Source organism: Homo sapiens, chromosome 9 (assembly GCF_000001405.40).
Source record: "Homo sapiens chromosome 9, GRCh38.p14 Primary Assembly".
Classification (NCBI taxonomy): domain Eukaryota; kingdom Metazoa; phylum Chordata; class Mammalia; order Primates; family Hominidae; genus Homo; species Homo sapiens.
The window spans coordinates 68,599,359-68,619,658 of record NC_000009.12 but is presented as its reverse complement, the minus strand read 5'-3'; the positions used below and the strand labels follow the sequence as shown (position 1 = coordinate 68,619,658).

At 42.5% G+C, this 20,300-nt stretch overlaps 1 long non-coding RNA gene and 1 pseudogene across 1 annotated transcript in view, besides 1 other annotated feature; both read right to left on the bottom strand.

The window, feature by feature from the left end:
- TMEM252-DT (TMEM252 divergent transcript) overlaps nt 1-20,300 on the bottom strand; it is a 103,426-nt gene that overhangs the window by 24,792 nt on the left and 58,334 nt on the right. The window lies entirely within an intron of this gene.
- Nucleotides 2,377-2,878: an enhancer, noted in NCBI's record as "H3K4me1 hESC enhancer chr9:71231697-71232198 (GRCh37/hg19 assembly coordinates)". NCBI's record gives its function as "activates a minimal SCP1, AML or CMV promoter by ChIP-STARR-seq in naive H9 embryonic stem cells {active_cell/tissue: H9 hESC(naive)}" and the evidence as "EXISTENCE:reporter gene assay evidence [ECO:0000049][PMID:30033119]".
- On the bottom strand, nt 7,278-10,760 carry LOC347097 (dermatan sulfate epimerase pseudogene; annotated as a pseudogene).

The window sequence follows — 20,300 nt, the reverse complement described above, 5'->3', positions numbered from 1 at the left end:
CATGTCTATGTTAATTCCTATGCTTTAATTCTTATGGAAGAATCATAATACTCGTTTTCTGTTTTCCCACCTTGTCGACTAAATTTCACTGGGACTTGGAATTTGGAAAAACATATACATTTACAGAAAACTGCCAGGAAGGAATTCCCTCATGGAAATACTACCACTGCCTTTAAAGTTATGTGTGCCCATGTCACAGGGTTTAGGCAATTGGACATGGAAAGGAGTGGCCTGTGTTACTTTCAGGCAGAAACTTTGACGATGATTAAGTGACTTGCCGTGTTTCCTTTTCCCTGCAGCATTGAGCATGGATGCACATGTTGTTAGAACCTCCAGAACTAGCGTCCCTGAGTGACTTTGATAAGCTGAGACCGCTAATAACTCATGTCAAACATATAATATGCATGAGCAAGTTTTCTGAGGTTTTAGGGTTGTCACTACAGCATAACCTACAGTGACAGGCCCCATGCATCAGGCAGATTACATACCCTCCCTGAGTTTCAATTCTATTATTGAAAAAGAGGAAAAGTAATTTTCACTTTTTTTTTTTTTGTAAGGACTGTCAAGATAAGTGCATAGCTTTGAATAGGTCTAATACATAATAAATATTCAATACATTTTTCCTCTCCAAAGGGATAAAGAGAACATTCTAGAAACATATTATATTTAAAAAAATGGGAATCAGAATGACATCAAAATTCCCAAATGCAACATTGGCAGCTAGATATCTATCCAAGGGGCAAAGCCTTCAAACTTCTGAAGGAAAAGTTTAGACACAGCTAAACTATCAATTAGGTAGAAAAGTCTATACCTAGCCAAACTATCAATTGAATATGAGGGTAGAATGCCGTCATTTTCACAAAAATTTGTATGCTATGAATCTTTTCTCTGGCAGTACTTCACCAAAATGAATGAATTATTTGTCCAAGAAGAATACATGTGGTCTAGGAAACAGGAGAATCCAACCTAAGACAGAGGGGATTCCTGTGAAGGATTTTCCCAGCTTGAAGTCTGGGCAGAGCCTTGTAAGTAACTGGCTAGTCTGCAGCAGGAGAACCGGACTCAAAGGGAGACATAATCAGGAACAGTGTAAAACTGCTAGGGAACCAGACATATACGGAAAATAGTGCTGAGAGGGAGAGTACATTCTACTGGAGAGTTTGAGAATTCATGACAGTGCACGACTAAGCAAAAGAAAAAATATATACATAAGGCAATTACTAACTCCATAAACAAGAAAAAAATTCAAAAAGAAAAAAATGAAGTCATAATAGACTCAGCAGAGAAGATGTGCAGGGTTGTAATAATTTATTTACTAATTACTGATTGAATCAGAAATTTAAAAATAATTGCCAAATATAGGTAGAACAGAGGAGGAGAAGTCAGGAGAGGATAACTCTTCGTTTTTCAAATTAGGATATCAATAGATTATGCCTAAAAGTGGTAACAACAAGAAATCTACTATCAGTAGGTTATTTTAAAATATGGAGGTGTGTCCGGAATTGGTGGGTGCTTGGTCTCACTGACTTCAAGAATGAAGCCGCCAACCCTCGCGGTGAGTGTTAACAGTTCTTAAAGGCGGCGTGTTAGGAGTTTGTTCCTTCTGATGTTCGGATGTGTTCGGAGTTTCTTCCTTCTGGTGGGTTCGTGGTCTTGCTGGCTTCAGGAGTTGAAGCTGGCTTTATGAGCTGGCTACAGCTCATAAAGGCAGTGTGGACCCAAAGTGTGATCAGCAGCAAGATTTATTGCAAAGAGCGAAAGAACAAAGCTTCCACACTGTAGAAGGGGACCAGAGCGGGTTGCCACTGCCGGCTCGGGCAGCCTGCTTTTGTTCTCTTATCTGGCCCCACCCACATCCTGCTGATTGGTAGAGCCAGTGGTCTGTTTTGACAGGGCGCTGATTGGTGCGTTTACAATCCCTGAGCTGGACATAAAGGTTCTCCACGTCCCCACCAGATTAGCTAGATACAGAGTGTCCACACAAAGGTTCTCCAAGGCCCCACCAGAGTAGCTAGATACAGAGTGTCCATTGGTGCATTCACAAACCCTGAGCTAGACACAGGGTGCTGATTGGTGTGTTTACAAACCTTGAGCTAGATACAGAGTGCCAATTGGTGTATTTAGAATCCCTGAGCTAGACATAAAGGTTCTCCATGTCCCCACCAGACTCAGGAGCCCAGCTGGCTTCACCCAGTGGATCCGGCACCAGGGCTGCAGGTGGAGCTGCCTGCCAGTCCTGCGCCGTGCGCCTGCACTCCTCAGCCCTTGGGTGGTCGATGGGACTGGGCGCCGTGGAGCAGGGGGCCGCGCTCATCGGGGAGGCTTGGGCCGCACAGGAGCCCACGGAGGGGGTGGGAGGCTCAGGCCTGGCGGGCTGCAGGTCCCAAGCCCTGCCCCGCGGGAAGGCAGCTAAGGCCCGGCGAGAAATCCAGCGCAGCGCCGGTGGGCTGGCACTGCTGGGGGACCCAGTACACCCTCCGCAGCCGCTGGTCCGGGTGCTGAGCCCCTCATTGCCCAGGGCTGGCAGGGCCGGCGGGCTGCTCCGAGTGTGGGGCCCGCCAAGCCCACGCCCACCCGGAACTCCAGCTGGCCCGCAAGCGCCGCGGGCAGCCCCGGTTCCCACTCGCGCCTTTCCCTCCACACCTCCCTGCAAGCTGAGGGAGCCGGCTCCGGCCTTGGCCAGCCCAGAAAGGGGCTCCCACAGTGCAGCGGTGAGCTGAAGGGCTCCTCAAGTGCTGCCAAAGTGGGAGCCCAGGCAGAGGTGGCACCAAGAGCGAGCGAGGGCTGTGAGGACTGCCAGCACGCTGTCACTTCTCAGAGGCAGCCATGCATGATAGCTCACACCTGTAATCCCAGAACTTTGGGAGGCTGAAGCAGGTGGATCCCCTGAGGTCCCGAGTTCGAGACCAGCCTGGCCAACATGGCCAAACCCCGTCTCTACTAAAAATATGAAAAATTAGCTGGGATCGCACCACTGCACTCCAGCCTGGGCAACAGAGCGAGACTCCATCTCAAAAAATAATAATAATAAAAAAAGGGAGGCATGTGTCAGAGGAAGCATGGGACAGATTTGAAAGCAGTTGCCTGCATTTAGGGTTTGAGACCACTGTTTTCTGTTATAAACCACATAGTGCTGTTTGACTCTTTAAAATATGGACATGTACTCACTGTGAGATGAAGGTTAGTTACTATTTAAAAATTAATAAGTACATACCTAAATCCATAAATATTTATATATTTACACAAAGCCCTGGGCTCCAGACCTAGGTCAGCCAGTGGCAATTTCTGTGTCCTGAGTAAGTCCTTTCATCTCTCTGGGTCTCAGTTTCCCAATTCGCAAGCAGAAGGTTTGAACTCTCTGGCTATTGTACCACCATCACTATTATCAAGTGATGATATTAGATATCACTAATTCACTATCATCAAAACACAAACTTGTAAAATATCTTGAAAGTTTACAAACACATTCTTTTTATTTGCTTTTTTTTTTTTTTTTTTCAGACGGAGAGTATCGCTCTGTCACCCAGGCTGGAGTGCAGTGGCACAATCTTGGCTCCCTGCAACCTCCGCCTTCCAGGTTCCAGCAATTCCCCTGCCTCAGCCTCCCAAGTAGCTGGAATTACAGGCATGTGCCACCATGCCTGGCTAATTTTTGTATTTTTAGTAGAGACAGGGTTTCACCATGCTGGCCAGGCTGGTCTAGAACTCCTGACCTCAGGCGATCTGCCCGCCTCGGCCTCCCAAAGTGCTGGAATTGCAGGCATGAGGCACTGCTCCTGGCCCCAAACACATTCTTTTTCTTAGATAAAATACTAAAACAAACCAAAACATTTTAGATTACAAAAATGGAAGTACAAAGGCTTGGACATATTTATTGGCCTTTTTTTTTTCAATGAAGTGGTTTCAGTAGCCAGGCAAGCTTTGTATGAGCTACACTTTTCACTCTAAACAATGTGGATAAATATGACCTTGAGTGTTCTCATTTTCACATGCCCCATTTTTTCTCTCAGGACAGTTTTAATAGTGATTAAACCAGAATTTAGTGTCCAGATGAGCACACGGGGAATAATCTTTTCACTGAAGAGCCCCGTATGTCCATTGCGCACCTTAGAGGTCTTGTGTGGAACTAATGAAGCACTTTGATGGCTCAGGGATTTTCATTAGAGGGAATTCATCTCCACCTCACCTCAAGCTTCATGAGCCATTTCTCTAGCTGTGCTAAACTCCCAAACAAGTAGCAGCAGAGAGCATTTCCAAAAAAAGAGAGATATCAAAGTGGCAGCTACTCCAAAGACAGAGCCTCCCCTCCAGTTTCTGCCTCCTGCAGCTTCTCCTACCTTCTTCTCTGTTCTTTTCATGCACACCACCCACACAGTCCGTTGCAGATGGATACGTGGTTCCAGTGATTTAACCTTACTTTCTCCACTCAGGCCCCTCAGGCGTGATTTGTTCTTCGGAGTCAGAGCTCGCTTCCCCAGCACCAGTGGTGTGGCTGTGAGCAGGTTTTGTTAGCTGGGTATAATTTTTAAAGTACCATTTATTTATCTGGCAAGAGCAAGCCCCAGTGATCCACCTCCATTAAAAGTTCAATCCAGAAGAGTGAATCTGACAGCTCCAGATTTCCGGCCTCAGAGCTCTTGATTAATTTTTGTGCCCAGAGTCTGAGGCGAAAGCAAGGGCGGGATTTCCTGGGTGGCTGTTGGAGGTGCATTTGGAGGCCATTACTGCCCTTCCAGCTTCTTCACTCAATTATGCTGAGCTGAGGTTCGTCACACTTTGCATAAGCGAACTCGATGAATACTTAAAAAGCCTTATTCTCATTTTACACGTGAAGAAACTGAGGCACAGGGTGGTGAAGTGGCTTGCCGAAGTTTGCACAACTAGCAATTGGTGACGTCCGATTGGAGCTGAGGTCTGTGTTGCTCTAAAGCTCGAGTCTTTTCCACTTGGGTTGCGTCTCTCATCTCCTTGAGGGCACTGCCTGCTCTGTGTCGCCAGGACTGGGCTGGAGGTGGCCACTGGGGTTTCATGCAGAGGGTCAGAGATTTGCTGAGTGAATGTGGACTGTCCCTGCTTTGGCTGCAGAAATATCTTTCCTCATTCTTGATCGCCCTCAACTTTTTGAATCCCGGGTACAGGCTGAGAAGTGTCTACAGGTGACATGCAGAGTACACCAGGACAGAATTCCAGTCCAACTTGGTCACAAAATGCATGTGCTTTTATGCCAAGTTATTGGACATGTGTCTAGAGGCATAGAGTGACTTCGCTGCTCTTTAATTGTCTTTTTTGCTGTGCCTTCTGTTTTCATTCCTCCAGCTCTGTCTTCCTGCTTGTGGTGGAACCGAAAGTCTCAGTGTAACCCTGTTCCCTAGACAGGTCTGATATCTTCTTGGCCTTGACACTGAGAACTGGTTTAGAATCTGGTTTGTACTGTCCAACCTTCCAGTTTGGGAAGATAAGTCACAGGACATCGTCTTCTAAGCAGCAAGAGTAGCCCCTGGGATAAAATTGCTGACATCTCCGTGGGGCCTCAGGGTCCTGGGACTCATGCGAGTGCAGGAGGCTCCATGTCTTTGGAGGCTGCATCAGACACATTCTAGCCTCAACTGAATGAAACCTCTGAGTTTGATTTTACATAACTGCTCTTAATACTTACTTTAAAAGAAAAAAAAAAAAAGACCTGGCAAGGACTATAAATGTTTTATTTTAAAGTAACCTTTCTTGGATATATTTTTGGTGGGGGGAGGGCACAAATAGACTTCAAATATATTACATATTCATTGCAGAACATTTAGGAAAAAAAGAAAAGCAGAAACAAGAAAAATAAATATTTTCTATAATCCCAACAACATGAATAATATTTTAAAATATGCATAGGCTTTTATTCTTTATAGACCTATCTATATTCACTTTTCTTTATACAAATGGAAATATGTTGCATTTACTGTTGTGTTACCTGACGGTAGTCTAGTTAACAGCCAATTCTCTCCATTCTGGTTTGTGAGCCAACCCTGATTTTGTTGAGACATAGGACAGCCATGTGCTGTAGGGAAAGCTGGAACCTTCTCCAGCCTGAGGGAATGAAACTTAATTGGTCTAGGTCATTCTTAATCATTCCTTTCACCTTGTCAGTGATGGACTTGGGAGTAAGCATGTGACATTATTTTGGCCAAAGAGACATCAGGGAAGTCCTTAGGGAATGTCTGGGAAAAGTTTCTTTGCTCTTTAAAAAAAAATGACTTGTAGGAAGAAACTTCCGTTTTCAAGTCTGGGTATTGTCTGAATGTATCTGAAACAATGGCAGCCAATTTGCAAACATGGGGGATGGGGGAGCAAGCTTGATGAACAAGATCAGCTGATGAACAAGATCAGAACCAGGACTGCTATTCCTTTGTTAAACTTCTGAATTAACCGATGTTGCAACCATTCCCAAACTGGACATCTTGACAGATGGTAAAATAAATAGCTATATTGTTTATGCTGTTTAAATTTTTCTGTTACTTATAGCCAAAAGCAACTTATCTAACAGAATTTCTCTTGTCATTAGATATTCTTTTTTTTTCATAATAGAAAATATTTTATTTTGAAAGTTTTAGTCATTGGGTCTACAACAGTTTTCCATACAAGGAAAATACAGTATTAAGTTATTTGTAATTGTCTTACATACTGAACAACCAATGAATGCATACAAGTAACAAATTATATGTGTGCAGAGACTAGCATCAAGGAAATACTCATTCATAGATACATGTTTTCTAATAAAATATATTTTAAGTTTTTGATGATCTTCTGCTATCATTTTTGCTATGTTATCTGAATAGCCATCCAGATCTGTAGTAAAAGATCTCGTTAGCTACATAACTAAAGAAGTACTTCCCCAAGGAAGCTGACACCATCATACCAGGACTTACAACATTTAGCTTTTTTTTTTTTTGAGACAGGGTCTCACTCTGTTGCTAGGCTGGAGTGCAGTGGTGCGATCTTGGCTCACTGCAACCTCTGCCTCCCTGGTTCAAGCGAGTCTTCTGCCTCAGCCTCCCGAGTAGCTGGGATTACAAGCACGCGTCACCATGCCCAGCTAATTTTTGTATTTTTAGTAGAGACAGAGTTTCACCATGTTGGCCAGGATGGTCTCCATCTCTTGACCTCGTGATCCCTCCGCCTCAGCCTCCCAAAGTGCTGAGATTACAGGCGTGAGCCACTGCACCCAGCCAACATTTATCTTTCAACATGACTATACCATTAAAATTTTTAAAATATTTCTCAGAATTGTGTTCTTCAGTCTTTTCCATAATATAGTATATGGAAATTGCTAATAGCATTAAATTAATATGAATAAAACCCAATTCTATCTAAACCTTTTTCTCATAAGAAAAAACATTACTTTAAAAAACAGACTTTTTGTTTCTTCTAAAAGTAGTACTACTTGGACTGCTCAATTGCAATGCCAAATACTTCTGGAAACACCATAGGACCACCAAGCTATTCCTATTGCCTTGATAAATTCCTTTCCTGCTCCAATTTCTCCATGTTCCTGCTTTCTTGTGTCAAAATATCTTCCCTTAATTTGTTAAAATGAATCTGAGGGAAAAAATCTGATAAACTGGGGTAATAAATTTTTTTTTCATGGACTTTTATGATCACAAAATGACCAGGCAACTTATAGCTTCAGTGCTAACACTGTGATTGGGAACAAGAAGAGTACAACCACAATAAAATACAGCTATCTGTTAGAAGAACTGCATAAAGACATCTTTGGCCCTCTGGAAAAAGGTTGTGGGCCCTCTGGAAAAAGTCAGTTGTATTGCCAACATGACAAAGAAAATAGCAATGTTCAGGATGAGGAACAATCTGGTATAGGAAGCAGATAGTGATGAGGCCCTGCTACGAGTAGTTGTCACCATCCATGCCTGTCCAACCCGGCCTTTCCTCAAGCCCCATTTTTATGTTTCTCATATGTTATATCTGCAAAATCTAAGAGGTTTTTCATTTCTTCATCTTCATTTATGGGTAGTTCTTTCTGTGCCTGAATCTGAGCTTTCTGTCTAATCTTTTTCTCATTGACCTCAATCTGTGCAAAAATATCAGGGACAGCATCCACAGATTTATAGCATTCGCCTGCCCTTCGGTTTTTCTTTGACTTGCTTTGCTGCTGCTGTTGCTGTGTTACGGCAAAAATCCTGTCGATGGCCTCTTCAGCCTGTCTCTTATCTGAAAATCTCAGCAGCCGGTCAGCAGTCTTCCTAAAGCTAGCTGGTTCTGGACTCAGGAGAGTATCTGCTTCTCCAGCTGAAACACTGGCTTAAAATGCTGCAGGTTCTGTTCCACAATAGCAGCATAGTCCTTCACCTCAGGGACAATGCTGCTCTTGATGGCTGAATTCTGGTCAAACAGAATTTTGTGATGATCAGCAATGACCTGTGCAAAGGCAGACTGTCCTGCGGCCTCACCTGTCCACAGGTACATTGCGTAGGCATGTTCTCTGGTGGCTATGAACACATCCAGTTGCTGAGAGTCTCTGTGGATGGTGAAGCTCTGAACATCTATAGTGACCCTATGAAGAGGTAAGCTGGCCTGGTGATGGGACTTCAGAGGTGCATGGTGACATTCACATAGTTTGTCCCATTGTAGGGATAGCTCCCAGGATATGTCACTGATGCAAATATTGCTTTCTTGCCGTAGCCAGTATTGTCCATCCAGTACTTTTTATAGAGACCATTTCTCTACCTGATGAAAGCCCCATGGACACCATCTACCACAGTCTCCTCAAAAGGAACATCCACATTGTGGAAGAAGCTCGCTGCTGTCTCCAGGGGACTCTCCTCTCCCAGGTGTATTTGGTCTACAAGGAGAAGCAGCTGTGGATGTAGGAGGATCAGATTCCTCTGAACATTCTTCAGGTTGAGCTGGAGGTTATAAGCTCCCACACCTTCTCCTCAGATGAAAACCACCCCATTTTTCTCCTCTGCTGCAACCACTCTCCCCTGACAGCTAGCTGCCAGGTCATGCTGGTATTTAGACCATTTTGATGAACAGTGTTCTGTGACTTGACCCTTCCAGGGAGAAAAGCAGCTCTTCGACACAGCTGCGGAAAACATCAAAACATTGTTGAAGAAGGTGTACTTTGGCCTGTACAGAGCCTCAATAACGAAAGGCACACAACTGGGAGCAAAAGTAAATGAGTTTTGATCATAATGTTCATGCCCTGTCCTAAAATTTCTCCATCCTTTGATCCAATCTTTGTATTTGTTTCTGTGGACAATGTCACATATTGCATGTCCCCCCGGTTTTCCAGACTTGAAAGAGAGGAAAGATTTATTGATTTCAGCAGGTAGTGCACTTCAAGTCACGACACCCAGTCTTCAAAATAATGCAGCGTAGGGGTGCCAAAGTCTGGAGGAGGAACTGATTTCAAGCTGGCATCATACCAGAGAAATTCTGTGTGCAGAGTGCACCGGCGCTGCCCTTTGGACAGTGTTCCTGGACCTTCCACCACACAGTTCCTTCTGATTTGGTCAGCTAGCCAGTTACCACTGCTGTTACGCATGATAAATTTATCAAGGAAAACTAATTGGCTTTCTGGACCATAAAATCAGTTGTAATTTGAGTCCTCAATAGCCACAGTCCTTTGAAACCCTGGCAGGATGGTTCTATACATAAATGCAAAGTGTTGTTTAAGCCACGGATGGCCAACATGAAGTGCCTCTGGATGAGAAACATGTATTGGAAGAGTGATCTAGTGGTGTAGCTTCCATACACAACTCTTTCATAGAGGGAGCCATCCATCATCTCCCTGAGCAAGACCAGAGATTTCTCCATGATGGTCAGAACTTGTTTGGTCCATAAGCAGGATTCTTGAAGATATCCTTGATTCGTCAGTACTAGGCTTCCTGTGAGCAAAGCCATGCAGTTGGTGGGCTGATGATTGTGCAGGTATTGAAATCCCCGTCCTCTCCTGTATGAATTTTCATACATATACCCTGAGGCACTGGCAATCACTTCAAGAAACTTCTTCTGTTGTGTCTTGCTCAGGTAGTTGTGCAAGAAGTCATAAGCAGTGGCAAAACCAACCAGGGAGTGAGCAAGCGGGACCTCATCCCAAGGAGCATCTTTCACCAACCAAATAGGCTGCACTGCCATCCTCTCCATGTAGACTTTGGCCATGTCTTGGGCTTCAGTGTCCTCAGGATACAGCACACAGAACATTGCCAAGACACCCAAGTTGTTTCCATAGATTTCGTTCTAGCGGGCACTGTAATCCTTGGGATCCCAGGGAGGGAGGTATTCCAAGGGGCTGCACAGCATCGTGTGCACATCCTCCGTGAGGCGGGCTGCAATGTGCTCCTGCCAGCTGGCCGCCCTGAGCTGCAGCTCCGCCACCTCTGCCCTGAAGTACAGCATGGGGTGGCTGTTGTGGCTGGCATTGGTGAAGGGAATCATGACTTCTGGGTTCTCGTCGGTGATGTAGGCTGACACAATGCAAAGCAAATATATGAAAAACACACTGGGAGCACCCCTGTGTGTGAGTCCTCATCGTGGCATCAGATCTCCAAATCTCCAAGGCAGCCAAAGCATCTTCAAAACATCCGCTCCCCGCCGAGGCTCCGTCCTCTCCAGAGTCGCCTCTGCAGCCTCCAGAGCCCGCTCCTGGCCCCCCTCACTCCAGGGCGCCCGGGCTCCCAGCCCCCTCGGAGCCAAGCCCTTGCACTGTGAGTGTTGGTGGGCGCCGCGCCCGGGGATGCGCTGCTGCAGCCTCGGGCTAATATCGTATCTAATGATATCATTAGATATTATTATACAATATTATTTTAGATGGCCTTGTACTATTCTTTTTACTCACATACTATAACTCATGTAACCACTTCTTTTTTGCTGTTGTTTTAGATTCCCATGTTCCTGCTATTATAGCATTGCTGAAGTGGCACACTTGTGCTCTTTTCTTATGTCCTTAGTTTAAATTCTGGGTTAAATGTTATGAACAATTTTAAGGCTTTTTGTGCATATTCTAAGTTTCCTAGAAGTTGGTATTAATGTGTTTTGTTCTAACATTTAAACATCTTTCCAGTTAGGGTCCCAGCCTCTCTCTCTGTGTCTGTCTTTTGTTTTTAGCAGTGATGTCAATCACTATCAAAAGAATCATTGTCAAAAACTACTATTCCTGCAAGTGTGAACTTAGTTCCTAAAATGAGTTCTGTTTAAGTAAAGTATGACTTGTAATAAACTTTAACATTTTATATGCTTCAATCACATTACATTGAGTTCAAATGATTAGAATCTTACGATGTTGGATTCCAGGGCCAAGTAAGGTTATATGTTGGGGCTGATGGTTCTTAACTCTGGCTATTATGTTTGGAATCACCTGGGGAACTTAAAGAAAATGCCTTTAATGATGCATAATTGATGTACAATAAACTACACATATAAAATGTACAATTTGCTAAGTTTTAACATGTATATACACCCATGGAATAATTCCTATAATCAAGATAAAGAGCAGTATTCCATCCCTCCAAATTGCAGGGTTCACCATCCTTGGTTGCCTGATGGTTAGTGTCTTAAAGCCCATTGTTTCATATATTTTCTCTGCTTTTCTTTTTCTTTTTCTTTTTTTTTTTTTTTTTGATTGACTCAGGTGGGACGGAAAATCCATTCCCTGATACTCCATCTTAGACCGAAGCAGATATTTTCCATCTGAGGAGCTTTTAAAAAATAATCTCTAGGCTCCACCCAAGACCAAATGAATTCTAATATTTGGGGGAAGGCCTTTTGTATTAAAGTATAATTTACATGCAATAAAATTCATCTTATTTAGGGTAAAGTTTTGTAAATTTTGCCATATGCGTACAGTCATGTAACTATTACAATCCACATAGAACAGGTCCACGCCCTCTCCCAAATTCTTTTATGCCCCTTTGTAGTCAAGCTGTCCTTTCACCCCAAGCTCTTGGCAGCTGTTGATATGTTTTCTTTTCCTATAGTCTTGTCTTTTGCAGAATGACATGGGAATGAAATCATGTAGTATGTAGTTTTTCAGTGCGGGCTTCTTTCACTTAACATAATGCATTTGAGATTCATCGGTTTGGTTGATACAGCGTGTCCATAGTTCATTTTTATTGCTGAGTGTTACTCCATATGGATGTGCCACGATTTGTTTCTCTATTCCGCTGTTGAAGAACATAGCCTTAAAAAGGTTCCCCAGGTGATTCTAATGTACCTCCGGAGTTGAGAATCTCTGGGCTAGATAAAACTGCTCAATAGTCTATTAAGGTAAATATTAGGCCCTTCCCTTGTGGTCTGTCTCCTTCAAATCACATCATCCTGCATCTGTAGCCTCCTCTGCCTTATCAAATAACTCATGATCTAGTGTGTCCCCCGGTCAACCCAGCCTATCCCTTGGAAACATTTGCTCATCCACCGTATGTGCCAGTCTCCCTACTGCTCATTTGCATGCACTCATCAGTATGCAGATCTCTCATATCCAACTTCTCAGAAGATTCCTCTTAGATTTCTAAGATGATGGCATCCAATTGATAATTAATGTTAATGCTTTAATGGTATATTAGGATTCTCCAGAGAAACAGAATCATATATACATATAACAGAATACATATGTATACATATGTATTTATGGTAAGAGTTGGCCAACATAACTATGGAGGCTGAGTACTTCCACGATTTGACATCGGCAAGCTAGACAACCAAAAAAGCTGGTGGTGTAACTTTAGTCTGAATCAGTCTGAATCAAAAGGCCTGAGAACCGGGGTACAGTTGGTGTAAGTCCCAGTCTGTGTCCAGAGGCCAGAGAACCAGGAACACTGATGTCCAATGGTGGGAGAATATAAATGTCTCAGCTCAAGAAGAGAGCAAATTTGCTTTTTTCCCACATTTTTGTTCTATTTGGACCCTCCATGGACTAGATGATACCCAACCACAGTGGTGAAGATAATCTTCTCTATTCAGTTTGCTGATTCAAATGCTAATCTGTTCCAGAAACACCCTCACAGACACATGCAGAAATAACATTTTACCAGCTAGCTATCCTGGCAGCCCTTAGCCCAGTCAAGTTGACACATAAATTAATCATCAAAAATGGGTAATGTTGGCCGGGCACGGTGGCTCACACCTGTAATCCCAGCACTTTGGGAGGCTGAGGCAGGTGGATCACCTGAGGTCAGGAGTTCAAGACCAGCCTGGCCAACATGGTGAAACCTCATCTCTACTAAAAGAATACAAAAATTAGCCAGGTATTGTGGTGCACACCTATAGTCCCAGCTACTCGGGGGAGCTGAGGTAGGAGATTCTCTTGAACCTGGGAGGCGGAGGCTGCAGTGAGCCAAGATTGAACCATTGCACTCCAGCCTGGGTGACAGAGCGAGACTCTGTCTCAAAAAAAAAAAAAAAAGGAGTAATGTGACAGAGGTTAATATCAGGCTGGGTTTCTTGGAAACACTCAAAAAGTATAGCATGGAGATGCAGATCCTTTCAAATCCTCTCTTCAATTTTAGCTGTATGTAATCCTGAAGCTAGATTAGTTGTAATCCAAAAGGATGATGATTTTTAAAAATTAAAATACACGCACACAAAGTTCAACATTAGATGAAAGTGTTAAAAGCCCTCCCCACCCTGTAGCACCAGTTCTAAACTCAGAAGTAACATATATTTATTATATTTATAAAAATATAAATATATTTTCTAGTATCTTTCTGGAAAATCTTTCATGTGTATATCAGCATACAAAAATAGATCTATATTTTATCTTTTAAAAATTATTTATTTATACAAGAGGGATTTTACTATGCACAATGTTCTGTGCCTTGATTTTTTTTCCCTTAATATATTATGGAACTCCTTTCACATTGTACCTACCTCATTTTTATTTTTCAGTGTGTCAGATGAGTATGCCATAGTTTAACAAGCTTACTGTTAATAGAATTTAAATTGTTCCCTTTTTCTATGTATGTATTTGCTTGTTTTAAAGCTATAGCCAAGTTTGAAAAGTGACACTTTTTAGAATCCAATTTTTGTTTCAGGATAGTTTTAAATTTAGAGAGCATTTCAAAGATAACAGATAGAGTTTCCATACACACTTCATGAAGTTTCCACTTTTATTAATATCTTACATTATTAGTATGGTACATTTGTCACAACTAATGAACCAATATTTATACACTGTTACTAATTGAAGTCCTTACTGTATTCAGGGCTCCTTAGTGTTTACCTAATGCACTGTTTCTGTTCCAAGATCCCACCCATGATACCACATTACATTTGGTCATCCTTGTCTCCTCAGGCTCCTCTAACTGTGACAGTTTCCAGACTTTCTTTGGTTTTGATGACCTTGACATTTGTTTTTGTTTTTGTTCTGATGGAGTTTTGCTCTTGTTGCCCAGGCTGGAGGGCCATGGCATGATCTCAGTTCACCGCAACCTCCGCCTCCCGGGTTCAAGCGATTCTCCTGCCTCAGCCTCCCGAGTAGCTGGGATTACAGGTCGCCACCCTGCCCGGATAATTTTGTATTTTTAGAAGAGATGGGGTTTCTCCATGTTGGTCAGGCTGGTCTCAAACTCCTGACCTCAGGTGATCTGCCTGCCTCGGCCTCCCAAAGTGCTGGGATTACAGGCGTGAGCCACCGTGCCCGGCCTGACCTTCACAGTTTTGAGAAGTACTAGTCGGGTATTTTGTATAATGTCCCTCCACTGGGGCTTATCAAATGTTTTCCTGATAGATTGGGAATATGGGTTTTGGGAGGAAGGCCACAGAGGGAAAATGCCATTCTCACCACATCTTATCAGGGACACATACTATCAACATGACTGATCACTGTTGATGTTGACCTTGGTCACATGGATGAGGTACGATTCTGTCAGATCTTTCCATGCTAATGTTCCCTTTTTTCTGTTCTTTCCATATTGTACACTTTGGAAGAAAGTCACCATCTGCAGCCCACACTTAAGGGATAGAGAACTCTGCCCCACTCCCTGAGGGGAAAGTATTATTTGGACTTTGTTGTATGAGAGATTTGATTATTCTTGCCTGTTTCAAAAGAAGGTGCTCTGAGGGGATTCCAGATATAAGGGATATATCTTGGAGATGATCCCATAGATTACACAGAGAGATTTGTTATTCTTTTTCACAACTGTATAGCACTGTATTGAGTATATTTGTCTAGCTTCATCAAACAATTTTTTATACTTGGGCATTTGGGTCTTTCCATTCTTTTGCCATTATGAATAGAACTGCAATGAACAATAGTTTCCACATACACCTTTTTTGCCTTTGTGTTTTTGCAGTGTAACTTTGGGATAGATTTCTAGAAGTGTGTTTACTAGGTCAAAGGGTGAAGGAGTGTGCACAAGATGCTACAAGATCCCTCCTGTAATGTTTCTAATGTTTGGCATTTCCTCCAGCAATGTATGAGAATGCCAGTTTCCCCATAACCTTGCCATAAAGCATTTTGCTAAACATTAATATTCTTGTTCATCTGGTGGGTAAAAAATATTATCCCCAAAGAGTTTTAATTTGCATTTTCCTAATTCTGAGTAAAGTTGAACATCTTGTAATAAGTTTACAAACCACTGACAATTCTTATCTGGTCTGTCTACTTGTTACTCCCTCCCCGCCCGCTACTTTTCTATAGGATTATTGGTTTTTTCTTATCTATTTTTAGTACTTCTTTACATATTAGGAACATTAACCTTTTGTGATATAATTTTCAAAATGTCCCTGTTTGTCATATGTCTTCTAACTTTGCAGTGGTGTTTTATTGCCATGGAAAGTTTCCGAAAATAAAATGTATCCATATTTTCTGGCTTAACTTCTAGAAGCAGACTGAAAAATTTTGGCTCTAAATGATTTTACCATCTCTCTCAGTAGGAGGTCCTATAAGCATCAGTTGTCATACATCAGTCCTTTTTGCAGACACTTTTGGCATAGATACTTGCATGCACCTACTGTGCATCAGGAGTTGTACCTGGTTCCTTCCCTCAAGCTGATTATGGCATACAGAAGGAGGGAAAAATGAGAAGACACACATGTATGGTCCAGTGTGATAAGTCTTACAATGGAGACAAAATATTAAGGGGCAGACATTTACGGTGGGGTGACAGTTGGGACAGGATGAGGGAAGGCTTTGCAGAAAAACTGATATTCAATTGTGGTTTCGAAGAGTAAATGGTGTGAGCCCAACAAAGGGCATTCCAGGCAGAGGGCACAGGCCATGTGTGCAAAGGCATGAGGAGTGTGCCATGTGGGAAACTACCCTGATGTAATGGCAGCCTCACAAAACACACCAGGCAAGCTCTCTTAAAGACAGGGAACAGAAAGTCTCCCAGAACAAAGTAAAACACTTGAATGAGCTGGTTTATTGATTCCATTTAAAACACATAGTGAGAAGCAAGGAGACATGTGGAGTAGGCTAATACACTTAGAGAAAGATCTCAGTGGATGGAAGATCCCACTGTCTGCACCCTGTGCTAGCAATGTTCATTTGTTCTCTCTCTCTGCTGCATCAGCCTCCCCACCATGTCCTGTGTATGTATGTACAGAGTGGATATGTAAGCAAGGGAGAGAGGCATATGAAAGATGTCTACAGTCAGCAACACACACATTTGTCCCTTTGCTGAAACACAGGAATAAGCACTCCTGAAGGCAGCTGTAGCTCACCCTTCAGCCTGATGAGAAGCACTATGGCCTTCATATGCGCTTCTTGGGCAGACCACATATAAGGCCAGAATGGCCATCATCAATTGGGTTGATTTGAGGCCTCATGGATATTGACTGTGTCATTTACAATAGGTTCCTCTCAGTCATTCCATTCTCTCCTTTCTATGTTCAGCATTTACCTCTTCTTTGTGCTCTAACTTGTCTTGCAGGTGTCAACCTACTTATCCATACTTCCTATTTGTTTTTCTTGTCTTCTATGCAGAATAGGTTTTCCTCCAATAATACCCAGATCCATATTACATTGTGACACATGTAGATACCATCGTTCATGAGTAGTTATAGGAAAAAAGATAGGGGGCTGCACCTCTCAGGAGGAGGAGCATCCCTTGGAGCCTTTTAGGCACACTGGATCAGTGGGTACAGTGGTAGAGCAACATTCTAATTGTGGCAAATAATAACCATGATACATAAAGCATATTATAGTGCTTTCAAAGGTTATCTTGTTTAGTTCTCACAAAAGCCCTATGAAGAAGTCACTCTTATTCCCATTTTCCAGATGAGGAAACTGAGGCTCAGAGAAAGTAAATAATTGGTCAAGCCAGTGAATTAGTGAGAGGCAGAACTGAGAGTAAAGCTTTGTTGTTCTGGCTCCAGGTGATCTCTCTTTTTACATGTTGCAGTGGGGATGAAATGGTCTTCACCTTCTCAAGTTCTTTAAAAAGATTAATGGCCCTAGGCCTGCAAACAGTATCCAGAGATGGGTAGATGGGCACATGTGAAGTGAAAAGGGAAGAATTCTCACCCCTTCCCCAAGGCATGAGGGCAGCCTCACAGAATGCCAGCGCCTATATCCAAAGAAATTATCTGTCCATTTGCCAACTTTCCCTCATTCCTTAAAGTCCTCTTTATAAGCCAGAGGTGATTGGTCAGCTGAGATGAGTACAACTGGATTCAGCCCCGTCCTTTGCTTGGGTGGTTCAGGACTTCAATTTGGAATGTGGAAGTGGCTACCAGCTATTGGTCCGAGCCCAAATTGAGAGTGAAGATTTCCAGTGCAACAGCCTATTTCAGCCTTTCTGAGTTCTCAGCTGTAGACAGGCTTGCTGGATTACACGTGGAGGCTTCCATCCATTTTGGAAGTTGGCTTACTTCCGTCTCTTCTCTGTGCTTGTAACTAAAGTCAATGCTTCTCCAAGTGTGGTCTCTGGACCATATCAGCATTACCTAGAAACTTTTTGTTGTTGAGGTAAAATTCACATAACATACAATCAAAGTGAACAATCCACTCATGTTTAGTACATCCTCAGTGTTATGCAACCATCACCTCTATCTAGTTGCAAAATGTTTTCATTACTCCAAAAGGAAAGCCTATACACATTAAGTAGTCAGTCCCCATTTCCCCCTCACCTTGGCCTCTGGAAACCATGAATCTACTTTTCATCTCTACAGATTTGCCTGTTCTAGGTGTTTCATATAAATTGAGTCACACAATCTATGACTTTATGTATGTGGCTTCTTTCACTTAGCATAGTGTTTTGGAGGTTCATCCATGTTGTAGCATGTATTAATACTTCATCTTTTTTTAATGATTCTAGGAACTTTTTAGAAATGCATATTTCCTGCCTTACCCAGACCGAGTGAATAAGAAACTCTCAGAGGTGTGTGGCGGCAGCAATTTGTGTTTTTGTAAGTCTCTTGGTGATTCAGATGTATGCTAGAGTTTAGGAACCACTGACTTAGGGGATGCCAGTCTCTGATGTTTAACTCAGAAGGAAGTTGTTGGCTTCCTAAATCCAGTATACTATGATTCAGCTGAAGACCCATAGTTGATGTAGGCATTTTAGAAACAAAATATATTTTCATTTTTCTTGATGTAAGAGAGAGCTGTCAGGACCTGGCAAATTCATTTCTTGTCTTAAAATACATATATGTCAAAAAACTACAGGACATCCTTATGAAATAATTCCAAATGATTTTTAATCTCTCCATGTTAACTTTAACCTTTTCCATTTTGTTTCTATCCTATGTTGGGAATGGCTGATTTCTTCTCAAACATCTCCAGGTGTGCTTTCCATTACCAAGCTGTGCATTACAGGTGGCTGCAAACAGGACCATCCCAGTGGACTCCTTCCTTCTCTCCCTCCTCATGCTATAAATGGCATGCCTAGACCCAAGAGACCACTTATAAGGCTTGAAGTTGCCGTCAAACCTAGAGGAATTTTTATAGTTTGACACCCCAATTCCAAATTTTATCTCTGGCATTTCCTCCTCATGATGGCTTGTGTAGTAATTTCTATTTTAGGAAGAGAAGTTGTCTTGGATGAAATGAGAATTCAGATCAAATGATCTAGATTCAAGTGCTGACTTGCTTCATGTACTTGTTTATCCAACAAACACAGTATTTATGAGTGCCGTATAAACTGCATATCGGGTGAGAATACAGCAGTGAACAAGATAGACACTGTTCCCCTCCTTTTCAATTTGGGGACTTCAAAGTCTAGTAGGGGAGTAAAACCAGCAAAGAGGTGATTTTAGAACTGTGTGATGATGCTGTGATGGGGGAGTGCCTGTCAAATATGCTACAGAGGATATGGGAAAGGTACTTACTCCAGTGATGATGGTGGGTGTGGGGGGAGTGGGAGCCAAAGAAGGCTCCCAGGGAAAAGAGGTGACTACGTTTAGACATAGTATGGTGAATAGAGTTAATTAGGGAAATTTGGGCTTAGGTGGGACAGGAGAGGTTTTAATAGAAAGAGCATTCCAAGGAGAGAAAATGGTGTATACAGAGGGTGAGAGAAAGGACTCTTATGGAAAAGGAGCTAAGAGGATTCTGAAGCATTGGTTGTAATGTTGAGGGTGGGTCTGGTCAGATGTAGTGACAGCAAGAGTTGAGGCTCTGGAGCAAATTCAGGGCCCAGTGAGTCATTGCGGTCTTGTTGGAAATCACAGTGGAAATCCATGGAAAGATTTAAAGCTAAGATGTGATTTGATCTGCTGTGTATTTTAGTGGTCACTTGGGCTATATAAAGGAGTGAGTTAGAGGGAACTAGAGAGGAGGATGGAAGTTCAATGAAGAGGAGAGAGGAGGATGGAAGTTCAACGAAGAGGCCCTTGAAATCAGGACCTCTCATACAGGAATAATCAGATTGCAAATTTGACACATTGTAGAATGATTTGAGAATGTCTATTAAGTCAAAGATGTGTATTATTTGTGATTCAGAAATTCTATTCACAAGGAGCTCTGTACAAGATACCCATAACTACGTTCTTTGAAATTAAAAAAAATTGAAGCAATCTAAATGCCCATAAATGGGGGAATGGATAAAAAGGATACATAAAACATGGTATATTTATACAATGGGATGTTATACAGTAGTTAAGATGAATGAAGCAGGCCTAGATTTAGCAAATTGAAAAACCTCAAAAACATAATGTCAGGCAAACAAGTGTGGTTTACAGAATTATAGATACAATTTAACAGTATTTACCTAAAGCTTATAAGATAGCTGGGCGGGCTGGCTCACACCTGTAATTCCAGCACTTTGGGAGGCCAACGTAGGCGGCTCACCTGAGGTCAGGATTTCAAGACCAGCCTGGCCTACACGGGAAAACCCCGTCTCTACTAAAAATACAAAAAA